The 22,148-nt window shown below is 39.2% G+C and overlaps 1 protein-coding gene across 10 annotated transcripts; it reads right to left on the minus strand.

Moving 5' to 3' along the window:
• On the minus strand, window positions 2,862-20,799 carry SLC17A2 (solute carrier family 17 member 2). Of its 10 annotated transcripts, none has more exons than XM_006714949.4 (12): window positions 20,648-20,799; window positions 15,877-15,987; window positions 13,803-14,014; window positions 11,287-11,520; window positions 11,114-11,201; window positions 8,595-8,681; window positions 7,077-7,195; window positions 6,793-6,954; window positions 5,844-5,976; window positions 5,607-5,754; window positions 4,688-4,778; window positions 2,862-3,559 (listed from the first exon to the last, which is right to left on the minus strand). In XM_006714949.4, exons 2-12 carry the CDS (start codon window positions 15,902-15,904, stop codon window positions 3,425-3,427), a joined length of 1,437 nt encoding a protein of 478 aa, XP_006715012.1. In that variant the 5' UTR covers window positions 15,905-15,987; window positions 20,648-20,799; the 3' UTR covers window positions 2,862-3,424. The 10 variants fall into 10 exon arrangements, with proteins under 10 accessions (XP_006715012.1, NP_001273052.1, XP_047274021.1 ...); NM_001286123.3 differs by having other exon boundaries at window positions 20,385-20,799; XM_047418065.1 differs by having other exon boundaries at window positions 4,653-4,778; window positions 20,385-20,799.

Raw genomic sequence — 22,148 nt, forward strand, 5'->3', positions numbered from 1 at the left:
GGAAAGTTCTCCTTTCTTGTTTTTGAAATCAGCATAAGCTCCATATCCAGACACAAAAAAGATACACAAAACACATGTATGCATACAGAGCCAATCTCATATATCAGTACATCAGCCAAAGTCCTAAATAAACTATTAGTGAATCAAATTCTGTCGTACATCAAAAGAATATTCAAGGGAAAGCTCAACATTAAGAAATACATTAATATAATTCATAATATTTAACAGTCAAGGAGAAAAAGTAAGTCATCTCATCATTAGGTAGATGACAATAAACTATTTGAGAAAAGTGAATTAATTTTCATGACTATTGTTAGAAACAATCCTTTAGGGATGGGGAGGGGAGATGAATTAGAAATGTTTCCTATCAGTTCACAATTGCATCTATTCTGAAGCCATTAGGAATGTGAATGGTAACTCTTCCTCAAACCATCACATAAGGAAAGATACCCTGAAAGTCTGACACACCGAAGTCATCTGTCAGGAATCAATCAGAGAAGCTGCTGGGAAAACCTCAGAGAAGCTGCTGGGAAAACCTAGGCATTCTGAGTCATCATTGTTCTTATCACCCGTGGCAACTGATGCAATTGGAAGCAACTGATGCTTTCAGGGTCATGGTTTCTTCAAAGCCTGAGCTCATTAATTTTGCTGTTTGAGAACTTGCAGTTTGATCCAAAAGCTGACAGCATCGATTGACCCATTGCCTTCCTTCCTGCTCTGATACTGGAAGTTCCAACAAAAGAGGAGGAGGAACAGGACCAAGAAGAACATGAAAGCAGAGGACCAGGGGCCGGGCGCGGTGGCTCACACCTGTAATCCCAGCACTTTGGGAGGCTCAGGTGGGCGGATCACGAGGTCAGGAGATCGAGACCATCCTGGCTAACATGGTGAAACCCCGTCTCTACTAAAAAATACAAAAAATTAGCCGGGCATGGTGGCAGGTGCCTGTAGTCCCAGCTACTGGGGAGGCTGAGGCAGGAGAATGGCATGAACCCGGGAGGCAAAGCTTTCAGTGAGCTAAGATCGAGCCACTGCACTCCAGCCCGGGCGACAGAGTAAGACTCTGTCTAAAAAAAAAAAAAAAAAAAAAAAAAGCAAAGGACCGAAGGACCAAGACCCCTTCCCAACTGCTCCATTGGTCAAAACGAAGTCAGAGCAGAAGCTCTCAAAAGGATGATACTTTGAATTTGCTTTCTGTTTTATTTTCTACATTCATAAACGTGCACAAATCATAAATGTACAATATTCACAAAGTAAACACACATCCAAGTCAAGAAATAAAATATTTCTAGTACCCCAGGAGCACTTCTTAAGTACCATCCATCCAGCCACAACCCCCATCCCTGCACAAGGGAAATCGCTCACTGATTTTTAACAGGACAGATTGGTTGTAGCTGTTTTTAAAAAGTATTTTATAAACCTTTAAAAGAATGTGCGTTTTGTCTTCCTTTAATCAATATTGTGCTTATGAGACCCATTCATCTATTATATATTGGGGTCTGTTAATTCTCATTGCTATACAAATAGACCGTGGTTTATTTACTCATTCTTTTTTTAACAGACAACTTCCTGTTCAGGCTATTACAGATAGTGCTCCTATGAACATTGTTGTACATGTTTTATGGATGTATATGTGCATTTCTAAGTAAAATGTTTGAGTCACTGGAATTGTACATTTAGCTTTAGGAGATATTGCCGAGCAGCTTTCCAAAGTTCACATTCGTAACGTATGAAAGTTCCAGTTGCTCCACATGTCTGGCAACATTTTGTTTTCCATCTCCTTTCATTTTATCCATTAGTTAATTTTATAGTGGTATTTCATTGTAGTTTTGATTTTCATTTCTGTAATGACTAATGAAGTTGAACATCTTTTTATATGTTAAGGAGCCACTTACATTTTCTCTTTTATGAAGTCCCTGTTCAAGTCATTGGCCCATTTTTTAGTTGGGTTGTCTGTCCCCCACCCTTTTTTGTTTTTTTTTTCTCTTTTTTCTGTACATAATTTGACTACCTATTATACTATGTCTTTCTTTTTTCTTCTACTTCTTCTTTTAGTTTTCTGCAAACCCCCTTTCCTCTTTGTGTTGTCAATATCATGAAGGCAAAATCAATGTTCTCATCTTAGTACCACCCTCAGGGCCTGACACTCTGTTTTTCTGAAAAACTTGCTCAAAAATACCCATTGATTTGCATTAGGAGATTCTCTTCATCTGCTGAATTAACCCAAGGTTCTTGTCCAAGCAGTTTTTTAATAGGATTTAAAATATGGTGGGAACTTCTTCTCTAGACATGTTGTGGCAAAACCAGAATCAGTTCTGTGTGAGGAGACAAACTAAAGGATATGTCTTAAGTGTTAGGAGCCAAATTAATTCCTGTTAGAGTTGACGCTGCCTATCTGAGTATCTTGGGAAAGTAAGAAAAATATGAAGAAGGTTAAATTATCTTTTTCTACGCTCAAAAGGAACTTCTCTTGTATGTGATACACTTCTATGCCTTGTATGTGATACATTTCTATGCCTTTTCTCATCTTGTTATGTCTTCAATATTTTTCTCCCCCATATAAATTGTCATTTCACTTGAAAGTGTCTCTGTCATCTCTCTCCAATTTTCATTATATGGTCTAAACTATATTGCTATCCCTTCTGGAAGTGTCTACATTGCCTTCCTTCACATTCATTCTTCTCACAATACAAGCCTTCCAGTTCTATCTTCTCTGTCCTTGATTTCTAAGTTAACCTCATTTATTTAATCTTGTATTGGTCATTTTCTCATCATTAATCTCTTGCAATTGGGCTAGGATAAATAAATATCTGTTTAATCTGATGGAAATATCTGGATCTAAATAATTTGAAAATGGTCTATTTTATTTTAGCATGTAAATTTTAATAGAATTTAATCACATAAATAAACGTCTATGTTTTACAATGTATAAAAAATAATAAAAACTTTAATTCTGGGGATTATAGCTTTACAGTTCCGATCGGTGCTGAGATCTGTAACATATGGCTACAATTCCGAGCAGATCTTCTCTGCATCCAATAACCTGCCCCACCATGAAGATATTTATCAGTGATCATTTTCACATGAATTTTTATTTATTTAGTACTTTCCAATGAGGAAAATTCAAAGGCCACATGAATTGACTTTTCAAGTTTGTCCAGCTGTTGTCAACCCCGGGCGCATGCTAGAAACCTCTAAGGAGTATCTAAAAATTAGTAGTATCTGGGTTCCACCCCAGACCAATTCATTCAGAATCTCTGGAGTGGGTCCCAAGTATCAGTGTCTTATAAAGGCTCCCCAGGGAAGACTAACACACAGCCAGAGTTAAGAACTGCTGAGTCTATGGTCAGGAATATGGAGAGAAGTAAAAAATGTTTAAAAAGTTCATGCTCAGTACCACATTTAAGTTTGTAACTTTATGTCCTCAGAGGCGGGTAAGGGTCCTCTCTTTGGCCCAGTCTTGAAGTTCTGCTTGTCCAAACGTGAGGTAAAAGACCAGGCCAAACATGTTGACTGCAGCAGACAGGAAAAAGACATTCCTCCAACCAGACTCAAAATCCTAGATGTAAAAAACAGAGAAAATGATCAATCTCACAAGTTCCTTCTACACCAGTTCTAGTAGCCCTCCCAGTTGTGTATTGCAATGTTGATCACAAGGAATATAAGGAACAATGTGCAGTAGTTACTTAAGAAAGTTTATGAAACTATTGGAAACAAAATGGCCAAAATGCACATGGGGTTCTGAGTTGAGATGGTTATTTCTTTAAACAAAAATAAAATACACTAATGTTTTTCTGAAAATTTGGATTTCAACATATAATATTACTCATTTAAAATTATGCCTAAAATGGCATTGTGGCATTGTGTTTGTGTCTTCTCTGTTTTTTTTTGTTGTTGTTGTTGCTGTTTGTTTTGTTTTTTTTTGTTTCTGTATTGGCTGTTGACAACTATCACTACAACCCATCTCAATTCAACATGAGTTCTCTTTGGTCTTCTGTGTGACCCTCCTCAGAAAGCCCTACTAAGTCATTTCCAGCATTATAGTCACAGTGGATTCCTAGCAGTTTAGTCAAATATTAACCTGGGAACTTGATCACATAGAAATGTAGTAAAAACAAAACTTCTCTTTGTAAGTTGGTTCTCGTCAGTCCTTCCATCCCTGCCTGGGTCTGTCTTTTCATCTTCCTCATGAGCCTGCATTTCCAAACACCGAGCAAGCCTCCTTGCAATGTCTCACAGCCGATCTGTTTCCAGACATTAAATTATCTTTAAACTGGCCTAGGACACTTTGTTTCCCTTTTGTGATTTTTTAAAAATTGGATTAGTCTGAACATATTCTTCATGATCTTCTTTTGCCCCTCTGTCTTCGTCTCTTGCTATTCCTTGACATGTGTCTTTCATTCTGGTCATAACTAAGAACTGTTTCATGCTCATGTACCTCTAGGAAGTCACACGTGCTGTCTTCTGCACCGGAACAGCTCATTTTAATCAATCTAACATCTATTCATCTTGAGAAAATAAGCTTATATTTTTCTTCCTCTGGGAAATCTGACCTACCAGAGTCTGATTTAGAGGCTCATGTAAATAGAGTAATTGTGTTGCCATCCAGATCTTTAGAGCACCGTGTGTATCTCCAACACCTAAAACAATACCTGCCACTTGAAGATGTTCAATAAACTGGCCCAACCTGACTGATGAGGAATCCAGTGGCAGTGGAAGAGATGATTCCTGCGATGAGCCCAAATCCCCTTGAGATTCCCATGAGGAAACTTGCATATCTGTGGGAAGATGATTTTATAAATGATTTTATATAGAAAGCCACCTACAGCTTCTGCAGCAACTCAACTTTAATGCAATTCAGCTCTAATGGCAAAGTCATTTTGCTTAATGCAGTTTTTCATTCACCTAAAGACATTCAGGGCAATGTCTATTTGCCAAACCTGAAATTACCAATCTACCAAGTCAATAACCAGGGAGCAATGCAGTCTCTCTGGGAACCACGTTTCTTTACCCCGGCTGCTCAGTGGAGAAGCCAGTTTGTGCAACGGGCAGGACACAGACTCCAAAGCCAGACTCCCCCAGTCCAAATCCTGGCTCTGCCTTTATGTGACCATAGTCACACCATTTAACCTCCTTGTGCCTCAGCCTTCTCCCTTATAAAATGGGGATAACAATAGGGCCTACCTAATATAACTGTGAGGATTAGATGTGTTGATATATGGCAAGTCTTGGCACAGGAGCTGGCTTATTGTGACTGTATATATATATATATATATATATATATATGGTAGCTAATATGAACAACACCATGGAAACTTTTCCAAATCACCTGTGTGTGGGCCTTTTCCCAGCATACACAGTTCAATCTCTGTTAGGGAAGCTTGGGAAGGTTTTTGTCAAAATGATTACTGGCCAAGATTGGAAATTGTTGTTCTAAAAATGCCACATTTGTTGTTCTAAAAATGGCCACAGACAGATATTTGTAGTTATTTGTCATTCTGCCATTAGTGCAATGTCAGTAACATTAAAGAGTTTCACGGCGACCACTGAGGTCTAACACCTCTGGAGGGGTCTGGAGGAGGGGAAAAAACAGGTAGAGCTCTTACCTGGGGGCGATATCTAAGGTGTTGATGATAAACCCTGAGTCACATAGGTTACTGGTCCCAGGAATAAGTATCAGCAAAATAATGGTTATCACGTAACTGGAGGCCACAAAGGGCAGGGCCACAGCACATATTGATGGAAGGAGGAGCCCTGGGCAATGAGGACATGCTGTCAGGGAACCCTCTGAGACCATGTGCAGAAAAGGGATTGGTTAAATGGGCCCACACGCTTATCCTTACCAAGAGATGAAAAGAGCTTTCGCACAGTGATCAATCTGAGAAGATTCCTGGACAAAAGGAAATCTGCCAGCTGACCTCCTAAAATTGTACAGCTTGCAGCAGCAATAAAAGGCAGGGAGGACAGAACTCCACTCTGAAGGAAGGAAGTTTATACAGAGTAGTTATAGAGATACGTTAGCACCAAAATTTGTCAGTTACACAGACCAGCCATTAACTTACCCCCATGATACTGTGGGTTGTTTGGGGGAAAATTAGCATCCTTTTTCACACTAAAAGAACACTGTCTCAGATAAGAGGGCCAGAAGCTGCATCACTCTGGGCTCCAGATAAAAGCAATATTAATTTCTTGGGTTTTTTGTTTTTGAAACGGAGTCTTACTCTGTCGCCCAGGCTGGAGTGCAGTGGCATGATCTTGGCTCAATGCAACCTCCACCTCCTGGGTTCAAGCGATTCTCCTGTCTCAGCCTCCTGAATAGCTGGGATTACAGGTGCCTGCCACCACACCTGGCTAATTTTTGTATTTTTAGTAGATGATATTTAGTAAACCATATTGGTCAGGCTGGTCTTGCATTCCTGACCTCATGATCTGCCTGCCTCGGCCTCCCAAAGTGCTGGAATTACAGGCATGAGCCACCATGCCTGGCCCAGCAATATTATTTCTAAAAGAAGCTTTGGAATCAGCTGGTGTGGTAGTATAGCATAGTGGTTAAGAATATGGATGCTGCAGCAGCTCTATCACTTAGTATTGTGCAACCTGGGGCAAGTTATCTCACCTCTAAGTGTCCTGTTTCCACATCTGTGAAAAGGGAATTATAACAATGCCTCTCTCAAGGTCATTGTGAAGGTTAAATTAATGGTTATATGTAAAGCCAGAATGTAATAGGTAACACAGAACTGTTTCTCCTTATTACCATTATCATTTTCGTAGAAGTATAGGAAGTAAACTCACATCTCTGATGTTAACATGGAGCAGAGTACTGATATACGTTGGTAGGTATGTTAGGATGATGGTGCACAACCAGAAATGGCTGAAAAAACCCAGGAAAATGGCCCAAAGTGGTAGGCATGTGACCATCGCCTTTATGGGGACAGCTCGTCCAGGAGAACTGGGCTGAAAAGAAAGATCTAATCAGCATGAGTATTAGAGCAGCCAAGATGGTGCCTCTCAGAGGAGATCCACACCCTGCCCTAGAGACCTCTGCATGGGCCACAGGTACAAGGTGTGCACTGTACCTGTTGAGCCAGTGAGGACAGGATGTGCTCCTTTTCCCTAACACTTATGCACGGGTGATGCATGGGGTCATCATAAATCACTGTGAACCATAGGAGACAGCAGACACAGCCAGTGCTACCTGGGAAGAAGGGATAAAATTAGTTTTTAGGTAGATTTGTTTACTGGGGGAAGGAAGTTTCCTCTGAAGTGGCATGCCTCTCCCTTCTACACACTAATCAATTAATGCTTATTCTACCATAAGGACCTAAATGTTCCCATTCTTTCTTTCAATCCTTCTACAAACCTGTTAAAGCTTTTTAGATATTACGTCTCAAATAGAAAGCCACCATTTGTCAATGTCAGAGCCCTCTGGAGATAACAGGAGCGTGGCATTGCATAGCTGATTAATTACTTTAAAGTCTCCAATGATTACAGTGTTATGTATTTTAGGCAGCAACTTCTTAATGCACACATAAGTTGTCTTGTTGCGGAAGATCTGAATAGTCAGGTTTGCAGTCATACATACACGAAACAACCTTCCATGAAATCATGTGGCAGGGAAAAATTTCCAATGCACTTACAAGAGACAGTATTATTTGTATTCAAGCCATACATCCATTATGGATTCCCAAAAGAAATATTTTTGTACAATACCTGGTTAACATGTACAAACCAAAATAATTAGCATCATTAATGAGAAAGCCATTCAGGCCAGGACTATATTTAATGACACCATTTGGCTATAAAAACAAAATCAAGTGTAGAAAATTGTCTTATTATTGGAATTCCTTATTTGAAGAACATTCTATGTTAAAAGATTCTGAGGACTAGTTTTCTTTAAATCCCCTCTAATTACTGGATTCACTGATTCTTTTATTTTAAAGCTAAAAATCAGGCACCATGATGACACCCAAGTGATGAAAACATAGAATGGATTCCTTGCCTCAAGCATTTCACAGTCTAGTGGAAAGAAAAGGAGAAATAAATAATTACACACCAACATAACCTAGAGAGGAAATATCATAAAGGAGAGAATGCCAGAATCTGATAGGGTAAGCCCTGGAAGGGCCCATGGGGAAGGGAACATTTGAATTGAACTTTGCAAGATTAACTTGGTAGAGAACAGGTGAAAGGCATCTTGGACAGAAATAATAATTATAATGAAATATGAAGACACATTGAAAATGTACTTCACTATCTTTGACATCTTAACTGCATATAGCAGGCACTTCAGATGTGGTGGTAGAGATTCTGCAGAAGGTGCTTGATATGGAAGGACAAGACTGCATCACAAGTCGGTGGGTGCCATGTGAATAGTCAACTCCTCTACCTTGTGCGTGTGGCTTCCCAGAACCACCAGGAAGGTGTTAATCAGGTTGTGTGACTAGATTAAAAATGATACCAACCGTTGACATTTTTTATCATCTTCCATTTGATAAAGGACATTTTCTTTCATATAGGAAGAATGTGGGTGGTGTAGGTGCCAAAATGGATGCTCAGGAAATGGAGGCGTTAGGATTTAAGAGAAAGTGACTCACCAAAGATGTAGAAGATAAAAGGCCAGCTCAAGGCCTGTGAGATTAGTCCCCCCACACAGAGGATGATGAAGGATCCAAATGCTGACCCTAAAGGAAAAAGGGAGAAAAACACTTATGAAAATATCAAAGGCTGAGACTTCGTGGCCTCCCTAAACAATGTCCCAACAGTGAGGTGGCAGACTTAGAATTATTGGGCAATGAGAGTATTTATTTCTAAAATAGCTCACAGATTTTCCCCAGTAAAGTAATATGATATAATTAAAATTAACAAATAATAGTAACACACTCTCTGATTCTTCAATGGCTCCTCAACACCAATGTGACCAAATCTAAATCCCTTAGTTTGTCACAGTAACTCTCTGCTATCACAGCCCATTAGCATTTTCTTGTGATTACAGTTGCATTCTTGCATGATCTAATATGAGGCTAGGGGCAGGAAATGAAAGACTTACAAAAATCGGTAAGATACAGCCCCTGCCCTCAAAGAGCTTCTGGTCCAATTGGAGAGAAAAATGTGAATAAAATTGATTGTCACTAGTGAAATGCCATGTAGGCTTTGGAAGTCTACATTAAAAAACAACAAGACACATATTTCACAGAGACCTATAGTAAGAAATGCATTTTACAGGGTAACATAACACACACACCAATATGCATAAACACTTGTACATACAACCACACACATATGCCTCAAACGATGGTTTCATGAATCGATATTTAACTTTACCATGTCCAATGCACTCCAACAATTTCTATTCTATTCTATTCATTTTTTAAAATAATGATTTTAACCCGCTCAATGGATTTTATGACTCACTAATGGGTCCCAAACTGAAATTTGAAAAAAAAGATGTAAAATATAAATATAATAAAACTACAATGTACGTGGAAGTATATCTGAGGATAAATTGATAATAATTATAAGATTTAGGAAGTTTTGGCCGGGCGCGGTGGCTCACGCCTGTAATCCCAGCACTTTGGGAGGCCGAGGCGGGCGGATCACGAGGTCAGGAGATTGAGACCATCCTGGCTTGAAACCCCGTCTCTACTAAAAATACAAAAAATTAGCCGGTCATGGTGGCAGGCGCCTGTAGTCCCAGCTACTCGGGAGGCTGAGGCAGGAAAATGGCGTGAACCCGGGAGGCGGAGCTTGCAGTGAGCCGAGATAGCGCTACTGCAGTCCGGCCTGGGCGAAAGAGTGAGACACCGTCTCAAAAAAAAAAAAAAAAAAAAAAAAAAAAGGTTTAGGAAGTTTTTACATAAGCTATGCAATAGGATAGATGGAATTTTGGCACAAGGAACAGGGGCAAAGAACTTTCCAGGCATATAAACTAACGGGAGCAGAGCCAGAGGGAAGTGCAGTGCAGATCTATGTGGAGAGCAGCCAATGTCCAGTGCCACTGGAGCCATGCTTGCACAGGGGAGTTGAGTGGAACAAGGTTGGGGCCAGATGGCTAAGAACTTTTGTATTCATGCAATAAAGAGGTCAGGCTTTACTCTGTAAGCATGAAGGAACACATTGAAAATTCTCAAGCGGGTGAGTAAAAATGTGCCATCTTTATTTTAGCAAGCTAACTTGGTTTTGGTGGGAAGAAGGTTGAAAGAAACCAGTCTAGAAGAGAGAGATCAGCAGATAGTATTTGCAAATAGAGGAGATGGTTACAACTATGATGGAAGGAAGCAAGAACGCAGGAGGGTTGCTTGAGGTAAAAGTCTGCAGGATGCAGCTGTGTAGTGGACCTAGGAGTGAGAAGCTGGATGGAATTTTAGTTCTGCTCTTCGAGTATATACTCTCAGCACGACAGGCTGGGGAGAACAGCAATGATAAAGCTGTAGAGGCCTGAGTAGGATCACATACCATGGAAAGGCAGTCTAGCATAGTGATTGAGAATGTCTGCTCTGGGGCTAAAATCTGCATGGGCTTAAATCTCAGACCTACCACCTGCTGGCTATTTGTATTTGGGCAATTTTCTTAATCTCCACCTTCCTTAACTCCCTTCTCTGTAAAATAAGAATTTAAAATGGTACTTATATGAGAGGGTTGTTGTGAGAATTAATGAGCTCATAATAGAATAGTAAAGAGCTTAGAATAATACAGAAACTTCAAACTCTTCCAGCCTGATTTCTCTCCTTACCACCTGGAGCTGTGGTAGCCTTAATTCTCACTTCAAAATCATTGCTAAGATGGTGTATATATAGCTTACTTGATCTTTTTCCATGTGTGCAATTCTTAAAGGTTTAAACTTTTTCCGACAAGGCTTTTCTGACTACTAAGGCTTTTCTGACTACTAAGGCTTTTCTGAGCTGAAACCTAGCTCACAATGGTTTTTTCTACTTCTAAGCTTCAATGTCTTTACTGCACAGATGCATCTTTCCTATTTGTGATGCAAGTGTCTTATATTGTTGAATTTTTCAGCAGTACTTTTTCTCTCTCTTCCCCAAACCATTTGATTCATAGAAGATAAGACACAGTGGGATGGAACAGATGACAAAGCTATGACCCATCTGTGCACACTTACCTGATCCTGCAATGGTGGTGAGCTTGCTTCGTTCAAGTGGAGGAGCCCACTTTGCCCAAATAGTAAACTGACCTGTCCATGCCATTCCCTGAAATGAAAATCATTAAGACCTTTGATATTTTGTAGAATTCAGAAATCTGGATCCCACCAAGAATGAGAAAGTATCTGGATACCTGGGCCATGCCCTGGACTGTCCGAACCATGATGACCAAAATCACTCCGAAGTCAGCAGCCAGTGGTGTAAAGAGGGTGAGAAGGGAAGAGATCAGCAAACCAGCACCAAGCATTTTTTTTGCTCCAAATATCCCTGCTAAATATCCACTTGGGATCAGAGTCAGTATTATCCCATAGTTGATGGAGCTAAAGATGATACCCTGAGTTTCTGGGCTCCATTGATACACAGAGGCCTGGGGGAAAAATAGGAAAACTCTTTGTCAAGAAGTCCTATTATGAAAATCTACTTTACAGTCAGAGTTGCTTGAGGTTAGTGAGACCCTAGTATAAAATATTGATTTTTGTTTCTCTCTATATTCTTCCTACCTTCCCAAATAACCAATTATACCCCTAATTTGCTTGTCTTAGTAGAAGGAGAGAAAAACAGAAGAAATGAAGAAAAGAGGTAAAGAAAATGATTATATAGATGAATAATAGGAAGAAGTAAATGGAAGAAAACATTGAGAGATATTTCATCTGTGAAAGCACTTCCTCTATTTTGCTTCTAGTAAAAGTTGAGTAACATCTTGACTCTTATATCAAAGAATTTTTTAAAACACACACACAAAACTTTACTGAACTCTTAACCAAAATCAGTGCCTAATTAAAAAGAAAAGTCAAGTTTGGGAATCATGGTCTGCCCTGGCTGAACTGAGTTCCTAAAACACATATTACAAATGAATAAGATCACATTCTTCTGATATAACTCAATAAATAATTTGAATTATTTTAAAATAACTACCTAAAATTCCTAAATAATTACATAAATTATATTACCTGAATATTTACCTAAAAATAAATAGATTTTAAAATAAATAAATAAAAAATAAAATAGATTTTAAAATAAAATAAAAAATAAATGCAATAAGGCCCCTAAATATCTGGCATCATGCTATAAAGTAGAGAGCCAAAGAATATAAAATATGAAATATTTTACCCACTCAAAAAAACTATAAATAATACAAGGTATATGATTCATGTGAGAATCAAGATTTGAGGATGAACATAAATAAAACAGAGACTTTGAGAGGAGAAAATAATAATTTGGGAAGGTCCCAGAAAGGAAGCAATACTTGAACTATCCCTTGAAAAATGACTATGATTTGTAGAAAGTCAAAAAGGAAAATTTTATCTCATCGGAAAAAATAGCAAAAGTGAACTTGTAGCATTTGGAAGAAACTAACAGGGACTCTGGCTTGCTCAGGGCAAAAACTTTCCATGGGTCATTGATAGCAGATGTGAGTGTGCTGAGAAGCAGGCCCAAATTCTGAAGGAACACAGCATGTCCAGTGAACACTGCATGTTTGGCAACTTGAAGGTGTCCAAGATTCCTGAGTAGTGAATCTACTCAGTGTGGATATGTAGACGGGATAATGGAGGAAAGACTGGAGACAATAAATTTATGTACTCATTGTAAATAAGCTAGGTCCAATGTAATAAAATCATTAATCATGAATTATAGGGATGACATGGGAAATGTACAGTACAAGATAATTTAAAGGATAATTTTTTTAATTGGGTAAATTCATGGTTTTCATATAAATGTAAAATAAACATACAACAAAGATTTTATTTAACTCATTGATTAATGGAGGAAGTAAGTAAGATGTTATAACTGGTTCAAAGGAAAACTCAAAGAATCACGCATAACACAAGCAGGAAGCAATGCTGAAATAGACTTTAAATATACAGCAGAGCCTGGCACAGTGGCTCACACCTGTAATCCCAACACTTTGGGAGGCCGAGGCGGGTGGATCACCTGAGGTCAGGAGTTCGAGACCAGCCTAGTGAAACCCTGTCTCTACTAAAAATACAAAAATTAGCCAGCCGCGGTGGCATGCCCCCTTACTCCCAGCTACTTGGGAGGCCGAGACAGGAAAATCTCTTGAACCCGGGAGGCGGAGGCTGCAGTGAGCTGAGATCATGCCACTGCACTCCAGCCTGAATGACAGAGGAAGACTCTATCTCAAAAAACAAACAAACAAACAAACAGCAAAATTGGCTAATTCAACTGGGAGGTGAGTGGAGAAAAGTTTTAACTGATTTTTCTCTTGGCAAAATTTATTTGCAAAGCTATGGACAAGAATCGTTTGCATTTCTATTGGTTATATAGAATTTACAGGGATATAAAATTGCTCAGAAACAATAAAACAGGCAGAGAACTGAATAGGATTGAGTAACCTATAAGAATGTGCCCAGGTAATACCTAGTTTTTCATTGAAGACATCACATAAACTGTTCCATTTTTAAATTTTTCACATTTAACTCTACAGTTCCCCCACCTTATAATCATAATAACCTCAATGAAATCTTATTTTTATTATTGAAGTAAGCAATGTCTCAAAGAAAAATAGTTCCAGTCAGTTTTAATTTGTCATTGGAAATGTATACTTCCATACTCCACAGAATCAAGATCTATGCCTTCCTTTCAAAGTTTTTTCTCTCAACAAAGAGCCCTATTTTCCATCATACTTACCTTTGTATCAAATTCCTTGATGGATATGCTGGAGTTATTGAAGGCATCTGCAACAGGCCCCTCAGTGGAGGCATTAGATAGACCTTGCTGCTGAGTGGTGTTCACCATGGCGATGATCGCAATGCTCAGACTCACACGCTGCGTTATCATGGTGAAGTTTGAGAAGTGCATGATAAGAGCCAGCCCATAGCGTAATGAACAGAAATCTGGACCTAGACAACAACACAGATGTATGTAGTGAGCATCCTGACTGAGACCCCTTTCTTTTCCTTTCTCTCACAGCTCGATCTGATAGAACTTTGGATGACACATGAAGTCTCATTGTCTTTTTTTCACCAAAATAGCCAGCACTACAAACCCACTTTGTCAAATTATTTGGTTGGCTTCAAGACAGCGAATATGGGATCTTATAACCAAGTAAAGCAAATATGGCCATCTTTCAAGGGGATAGGAAACACATGATAAATAGAGAAAACCCACATGTAAGGCATTTATGTCATATTGCTCCAAAATGAAGTGAATGGGGATGACAGTGGCAGAGCCAGTCACATAACCTTCTCAGCGTCAATAAAATTCCCTGGGCTGTAAGTGAATAGTCCCATCTGTTATGCACATTTGTTTATCACAAAGCTTGAGAGTTTATACATAACGAGCTGCCTTTGAATTAAGGTATTGCACATCCAAGGATTCTCTTTTAATACATTTGAGAGATGGTACTTTAAATGAGCACTTCGACTAATTCCCTAGTGTAATGTCTACTTGGAAATGTTATTGCTATGTGTCACTAGGTCCTGCCTTCACATATGTTCAACTTAAAAAAAAAAAAAAACTACGTGGGGTGCAGTGGCTCACGCCTGTAGTCCCAGCATTTTGGGAGGCTAAGGCAGGTGGATCACTTGAGGTCAGGAGTTTGAGACCAGCCTGGTCAACATGGTGAAACCCCATCTCTACTAAAAATACAAAAATTACCCAGGCATGGTGATGCATGCCTGTAATCCCAGCTACTCGGGAGGCTGAGTCAGGAGAATCACTTGAACCCAGGAGGCAGAGGTTGCAATGAGCCAAGATCATGTCACTGTACTCCAGCCTGGGTGACAGAATGAGACTCAATCTCAAAAAAAAAAAAAAAATTAATATGTAGAACTATTTTTACAAAGCTTGCAGGTGATGTGGTGCTGGAAGATATTCAATATATTGAAAGGACAAATTTTTTCTTTAAAAGCATCCCCATAAAATGGAACAACCACAGACCAATATTGAAAGGGTTCCCATGTGCATGATAGATTGGATTTTTCCTGCTTATTTGAAGAAAAGCACTAAAGTGAAAGAAAGAGAAAACCTGTGAAGACACAGATAAAAATATAATGGAAGAAATAATTTTTAATGGCCAAAAAAGCTCACAGATAAGAGTGGTGGTCTGGGAAATAATTATTTCCATTTTACTGGAGGTTTCCAAGCTCAGGAGAAAGAGCCAGCCGCTTGGTGAGAATATTATAGTAGGGATTCATACATAGGTTGGTTTAAAATGACTTTCCCGGGCCAGGCGTGGTGGCCCATGCCTGTAATCCCAGCACTTTGGGAGGCCGAGGCCGGTGGATCACGAGGTCAGGAGATCGAGACCATCCTGGCTAACACGGCGAAACTCCATCTCTACTAAAAATACAAAAATTCATCTGGGCATGGTGGTGTGTGCCTGTAGTCCAAGCTACTCGGGAGGCTGAGGCAGGAGAATCACTTGAACCCGGGAGGCAGAGGTTGCAGTGAGCCGAGATCGCACCACTGCACTCCAGCCTGTGAGACAGAGCAAGACTCAGTCAAAAAAAAAAAAAAAAAAGACTTTCCCAAAACTTATTCCACTCCCTAGATCCCAGGATTTATTGCTTATTTGGCTTAATTTCTCACAGATGATTTCATGGGGCTAAGGAAAAAGCAACAGGATCAGGGGCTGGAGCTGGCTCCAATGTTACACTGGGAGTATCTTTACGAAGGGTCAGTGTGATGCAGAGATGTGTAAATGTGTCGGAATAAGCTTCAGCTTATTAACATAGCCTGCAAACAAGAGCAGTGGCTTTACCTTTCCTGGTGGCAGGCTTCCCGTCCATTTAGCTTCTGTGGGAAATGGTACCACGCTTTGTGGTGGAGTTTCCCTGTGCCCTGAATCTCTTTTACTACGACAGTCTTTTATCTATGGAGAGAACATAATCCAAAACATAATACACAAATAATTTCCCCTTGTTAATGTTGCCTCCTCTTAGCATCAGTAAAAGTTTTGACCCAACACAGCTCTATAACTTACATTTTATGGGGCACTACTGGTATGCTTTTGGTTACAGGATTGTTAAAAGGAAATCTGGCTGTAAGTTCCAGCTGTGTGACCTAGAGCTAGTCATTTAAATTCTCTAATCATTCATTTCCTCATCTGTTCAATAAAGATAAGGCTCCTTTCTTAGTGCAGCTGGAAGAATTAAATGAAAAATTGCATGTACTTTATCAAACCACAGAGAAGCATGCGAAGGTGAAGAGTGGTATTGCTTGTAGCAGACCATAAGACAGGACAATTAAACTAAGCTCAAGAGCTAAGGAGGAAGGTTCCAGAGCGGTCTTTCCTTTCATTCTGATGGTGTTTCTCTCCCCTCTGTACCACCAGAACAATGTTCCATGTGCCTTCGAACATGAAGGATGACATTACATAACACTAATATGTATTACATTTAAAAGTTTAAAATGTTTATTCTCATGTTTGCTACACACAATGTGGACACTTGCTTGGACTGACAAAGTCTTCATATCACCTAGAAAATTATAATGAACAGGGACTAATTACTACAATTGTGAATAAATCCAGCTATTGTGACAGGCAAAGAGAATTCATGGCTCTAAATATGGACATGTTTAATTTAATATTTGTATACTAATCAAATTATCTTTGGGGATGCATACATTTGTTTCTTTTAGGAAAAATCCATATCCTAAGAATATCATCAATTTTCCATTCATTCCTAAATTGAAGCTTCTATGACTTTATTTTTTAAATTGCTTAAAATCCTTCAAGACATCTGAAATTTCTGTGACTTTAAAAACACATGTATCGGCCGGGTGCAGTGGCTCACACCTGTAATCCCAGCACTTTGGGAGACTGAGGTGGGTGGATCACTTGAGGTCAGGTGTTCGAGATCATCCTGGCCAACATGGTGAAACCCCATCTCTACTAAAAATACAAAAACAGCCGGGTGTGGTGGCACATGCCTGTAGACCCTGCTACTAAGGAGGCTGAGGCAGGATAATTGCTTGAACCCAAGAGGCAAAGGTTGCAGTGAGCCAAGATCGTGCCACTGCACTACAGCTTGGGGGACAGAGCAGGAATCCGTCTCAAAACAAACAAACAAAAAAACACATATATCAAACCTCTATTTTATCATTCAAGGCTTTGCACTGTTTTTGCACACAAAATTTAAAAGACTTGTCCGTACTTTAAAGATATTCATAATCTGTGACCTTAGGATGAAGGATTATAAAGAAAGGCATAGATGAAAAATTGTGTCCAAAAATATCCTTTGTAGTATTACTCATGACTGCATAATGTTAGAGATAAATTAACCTAATAATGAGAGTCTGGCAAGTCAATTTGATAGATTATTGTGATGGAAGCTATTTTAAAATGTTTTCGACAATATTGAATTACATTAGAAAAATGCTAGTACTCTAGTGTACAAAGCAGGATACGCTGTGCACATCCACATACAGGAATAGAAACTGATTCACACAAGTGCCAGTAATGACTATTTCTGGGTTACAAAACAGGATGATCACTTCATTCTTTGTGACTTTCTATATTTACCAAGTGATTTTGTAAATAATTAGTAGATACTCATTTTATATTCAGAAGTAGCTAAATGTATTTAAAAGAGCAATAATTGGACTTCATCAGCATGGCAAGTATAGTTTTCTGCTTTCCAAATATCTCTAGAATTCTGGGAATAGTATCTCTCCATCTAAATTTTGAATTTTGGGTGTTTGGAGATTTTATTGTTGTTGTTGTTGTTGTTTTGTACAATGGACCCAAATGGAGGCCCAATTGCTAGTAAGATCAGGTCAGCACCAGGACAGATACTGGTTGTTGCTCTGCCTTAGAAGGCCTCCAAGTCTTGCTAACATCTGGATATCAGGAGTTCAGCTCATTGCTCTACACTCAGATCCTAGCTGAAGTCATCTGTGGTCAAACCCAGAGTTTGGACCATTTTCTATTTGATTTCACTTTTTATGCAAGATCCCGTGGCTTGGCTGAAGGCAACTCTTTAACTGTACATGCAGCTGCAATTACTTACACTCCACTTAAAGCTTTCCCACCAACTTCTCCAATCTTATAAACACTGAAAGCTGAAAGAGACTCAGAGATCCTCTGGCCCAACTGTTTATTTTATTGATAAGAAAATTTGCGTAGAAAATTTGAAAAGTTGCCTGAAACCACATGATGCACAGAGCCAGCACCAGATCCCCTAATGCCTAGACTACTGCTTGTTCTACCTATTACAACTTCCCCTTTGTTTTCGTAATATTTTAATCACAAGCTTAAAACTCAATGGGGTAGCTCCATTTTGAGGTATTATAAAGGAGAATTTGTATATTTTAAATCAAGTTTTAATCATTTATTCTAGAAGGAAGTTTGATAATGAAAAATACTTTTAGGTTGAGCTTTGAATATTAAACATAAACACAACAAAACTACTTCTCCTTGCTCTTTATGTTACTGGAATTGTATCACAAACCCATCACTTTAGTTTTTCTTCCCATTCTCTGTTGCTGTCTAACGAGAAAGGATGAAAAGCCCTACTTAAGTTTTATGGTTTCAAATGCTACTTTGATTTTGTATCAATAGGTAATTTCAGTTCTTCGTTTCCTATTTTCCTTTGCATGAGACGAATGCAGAAATCAGGCTAACATACCAAACCATCCTAAACTGAGGTCTTTCATGGTAATGGGAAATGTTTTTCCAAAATAAGCACAGAAGCTAATAAAATTATGGAGGCTGAACACTGGCATGGTTGATATGTACTTAGAGACACTGGAATAATTATTAACCTATTTGCAAACAATTGAGAACATGTAACAGTGTCAGAACCCTTCCCTTTAAGGAGATATACCTCTAAAAAAAAATTGTGAATTCTAGTGCCAAAGTTGTAAGTAGACACAGAAAAATGAATTGAAATTAAGTTAAAGGAAAATGTTATATTAAAAAAAATTACTTGACACAGTATAGGTTGAATTTGAGAAAAAAATAAATAATGTAAATATTATGGTATACGCATAAGCAAAAAAACAGGTTTTTCCCTTTTTTTAAGTCTAGAACTCATGATTTTATTATAATGGTCGTTAGATTGCTCTTAGATTCTCCTAATATCCAGCCTGTCTTGCTTCATCTCTGTTAGCCCAGAGTCCTAGTTTACTCAGAGTAAATGTTACACCTAGATCAAAGAGCATGAACCTGCAGTGGGAGGATATTCAAGGACTGAATTCTGCTCTGCCATTCCCAAATTGAGTAAACCAGGTAAAGTTTCAAAAACTCTTAGGGCTTTCACTGTTTCATAGGAAGAATTGGGATAATGTTACTTCACTGGGCAGTTTGGAGTGAAAACAAAAGTATGAGACATGCCTCGTAAATTGCAAAGTGTTATATGTTGTATAATATTCTAGATACTAGCAACAGCAATAATAATAAACAGTCACAATATTGGCAGTCTAGCCCTCTCAGATCCATAAATACAGGCCTACAGCAAATGAAATGTATTTCTATAAAAGTGCCTTTGATTGGTTGTTAAATTGGTTTTAAATGTTTCTTTTTTAAAGTGGATTCTTCTGGCCTGGAATCCTCAAGATGAGTGGGGAGGAGTTCACCAGAAAACATAGAAGCAATTCCTTCAGTGTTAGAAAAACTGAGGGCCCTCTCATCATCTGCCTATCTTTCTGAGAAATTGGTGCTGACCACAATGTCCCTGGGTGCCTTTTCTTAGCTGTACAATGAGGGCAACAAGCTAGGTGATCTCTACAAGCGTACAATTTTCTTGCCTTCAGTCTTATTCATAACTTTGGTCATGTTCTCCTTTTCTTTTATTATTATTATTTTTTTGAGACAGAGTCTTACTCTGTCACCTAGGCTGGAGTGCAGTGGTATGATCTCAACTACTGCAACCTCTACGTCCTGGGTTCAAGCAATTCTCCTGCCTCAGCCTTCTGAATAGCTGGCACGCGCACTATGCATGCGCATAGGTGCACGCGCCGCTACGCCCTGCTAATTTTTGTATTTTTAGTGGAGACAGGGTTTCACCATGTTGGCCAGGCTGGTCTCAAACTCCTGACCTCAAGTGATCTGCCCGCCTCAGCCTGCCAAAGTGCTGGGATTACAGGCGTGAGCCACCAGGCCCGGCCATGTTCTCCTTTTCCTGAGAGACCATTTCAAATTCATATAGAAGTCTGAAAAGACTCGTTAGCCACAGTCCCAAACACAAATCTTGTCAGTTCTGATCAGTATTTCATTCCACAGCCAATCCCAGTCTGACTAATCACAGCATCACAGTTAATACTCACAGCGTCCTTGGAGAAATGACCATTGTCCACAGTGTCCATTGGTACCAGTGGCTTCTCAAGCCTTGCCCTAGGGTCTTCATTGAATCAGTTATCTTTTTCAGAGAGTCTCTTCATTTTGGAATTAGGCAATATTACCAGATGGAGATCCTTATGTTGCTGTTAATGTCTTTTCTCTGACTTCTCCTAAAACTGTTCCCTCCCCTTAATGGACCTTTGGTAAGTTAGTAATAATCCTTCTACCCAAAAAGAAGAAAAGCACTTACCTTCACCATTAAACCAGTATTTTAAGCCCTAGACTATAAGGCTAACTTGGAAAAGGAGGGAGTTTTCTGTCCCTTCTTCCCTTTCAAATACTTTTGCAGATTTTTACAGGGATAAATAGTGAGCCACGTGGCAGTCAGACGGCAACAGGTTTGGCCCCACTTTCTCAGAAAGCCTCGGCTTGGTTTTGCCGCTTAATTTTTAACTTCATTTTCAAGTTCTCACTGTTAGAGTATCTCAAAAGATGTCATCGTGTGTTTCTGCTTTGAACTGTGCATACAACCATTCAGTCAACAAGCCTTTTTTTCTGAAAGCAAGGGGGCATGGTGTGGAGGAAAGGGCAGGGCTCCTGAAATCAGTGATGGAGTCAGACCCATATTCACTTCCTAGTGTTTTCCCTGAGCTTGGACAAGTCACTGAACCTCTTTGAATTGGCTTCCGCTTTAGTAAAGCAAGGATTGTGTTACTGTACTCATGGGGTTATTGAACAAATGAAATACATATTCTAATTGGTAGTAGCTCCTCAATAAATGAGGTGTTCATTCCTCTTCAGGAGTTCAGTTAAGTCAGCTAGATTTTCCATATGCATTTGGTGCCCACAGCCTAATGAATGTGAACTGTGACTGCCCTGGCAACTTCCCAGGAAGCTGCCTTGTACCCCTCCTTCCTGTTTCATATCATCCATGTCTTCCCTAATCCATTTTCTGCTTGGCTCCCGACTCTTGGAATTGTGTCCTATTTGTAATCATTAATTTTGAGACTGTGGTTGCTATTGGATCTTCCTAGTGTGACGCAACCCTTATAAAATGAAATGAGAGCCTTCCCTCTCTGGCTTATCAGCTTCAGACTTCCTTAATTGAGTTCCGCCATCCTAGTGAGTCTCACCATACTCCCGAAATAACCTGCTGGAGTAGGCTTATCCTACTCAACTCCTCAGATCTCTGTATTTAATTCTATTTTATTGCTGTTGTAGTAAATTACCACAACTGTGATGGCTTGAAACAACACAAAATTATTTATTTATTTACAATTCTAAAGGTCAGAAGTCCAAAATGGGTTTCACTGAGCCAAAATCAAGGTATTGGCAAGGTTGTGCCCCCTCCAGAGGCTTTAGGGGAAAATCCATTTCTTTTTCTTTTCAGCTTGTAGTGACCACTGCATTTTTTGGCTCTTGGCCTTTCCTCCACCTTAAAGCCAGCAGTGTAACATCTTGAAGTATTTTTCTCTTATTCTGACTCTTCTGCCTGTCTCTTATAAGGACCCTTGTGATTACACTAGGGCCCATCTGCAAAATTCAGGAAAATCTGCCCATCTCAAAATTCTTAACTTATTAAACATGTAAAGTCCCTTTTGTCATATAAGGTAATATATTTACAGGTTCTGGGGATTAGGACATGGATATCTTTGGAGGACAACATTCAGCCTACCCTTTTGAGGGATAGAGGGGTAGCAGGAAGAGTTGAAACAATTCCTTCCTTTCTTTATTTAAAAATTCTGGTTATT

The sequence above is a fragment of the Homo sapiens genome, chromosome 6 (genome assembly GCF_000001405.40).
Source record: "Homo sapiens chromosome 6, GRCh38.p14 Primary Assembly".
Classification (NCBI taxonomy): domain Eukaryota; kingdom Metazoa; phylum Chordata; class Mammalia; order Primates; family Hominidae; genus Homo; species Homo sapiens.

Excerpts from the sequence above, each read along its gene's own strand:
- SLC17A2 (XM_006714949.4), bottom strand. The coding sequence starts at position 15,904 with ATGGACGGGAAGCCTGCCACCAGGAAAG. Across the intron at positions 11,202-11,286 it reads CAGTCCAGGGCATGGCCCAG|GGAATGGCATGGACAGGTCA; the intron begins GTATCCAGATAC and ends TTTTCATTTCAG. Across the intron at positions 7,196-8,594 it reads TTTTATCTTCTACATCTTTG|GTAGCACTGGCTGTGTCTGC; the intron begins GTGAGTCACTTT and ends CCTTCTTCCCAG.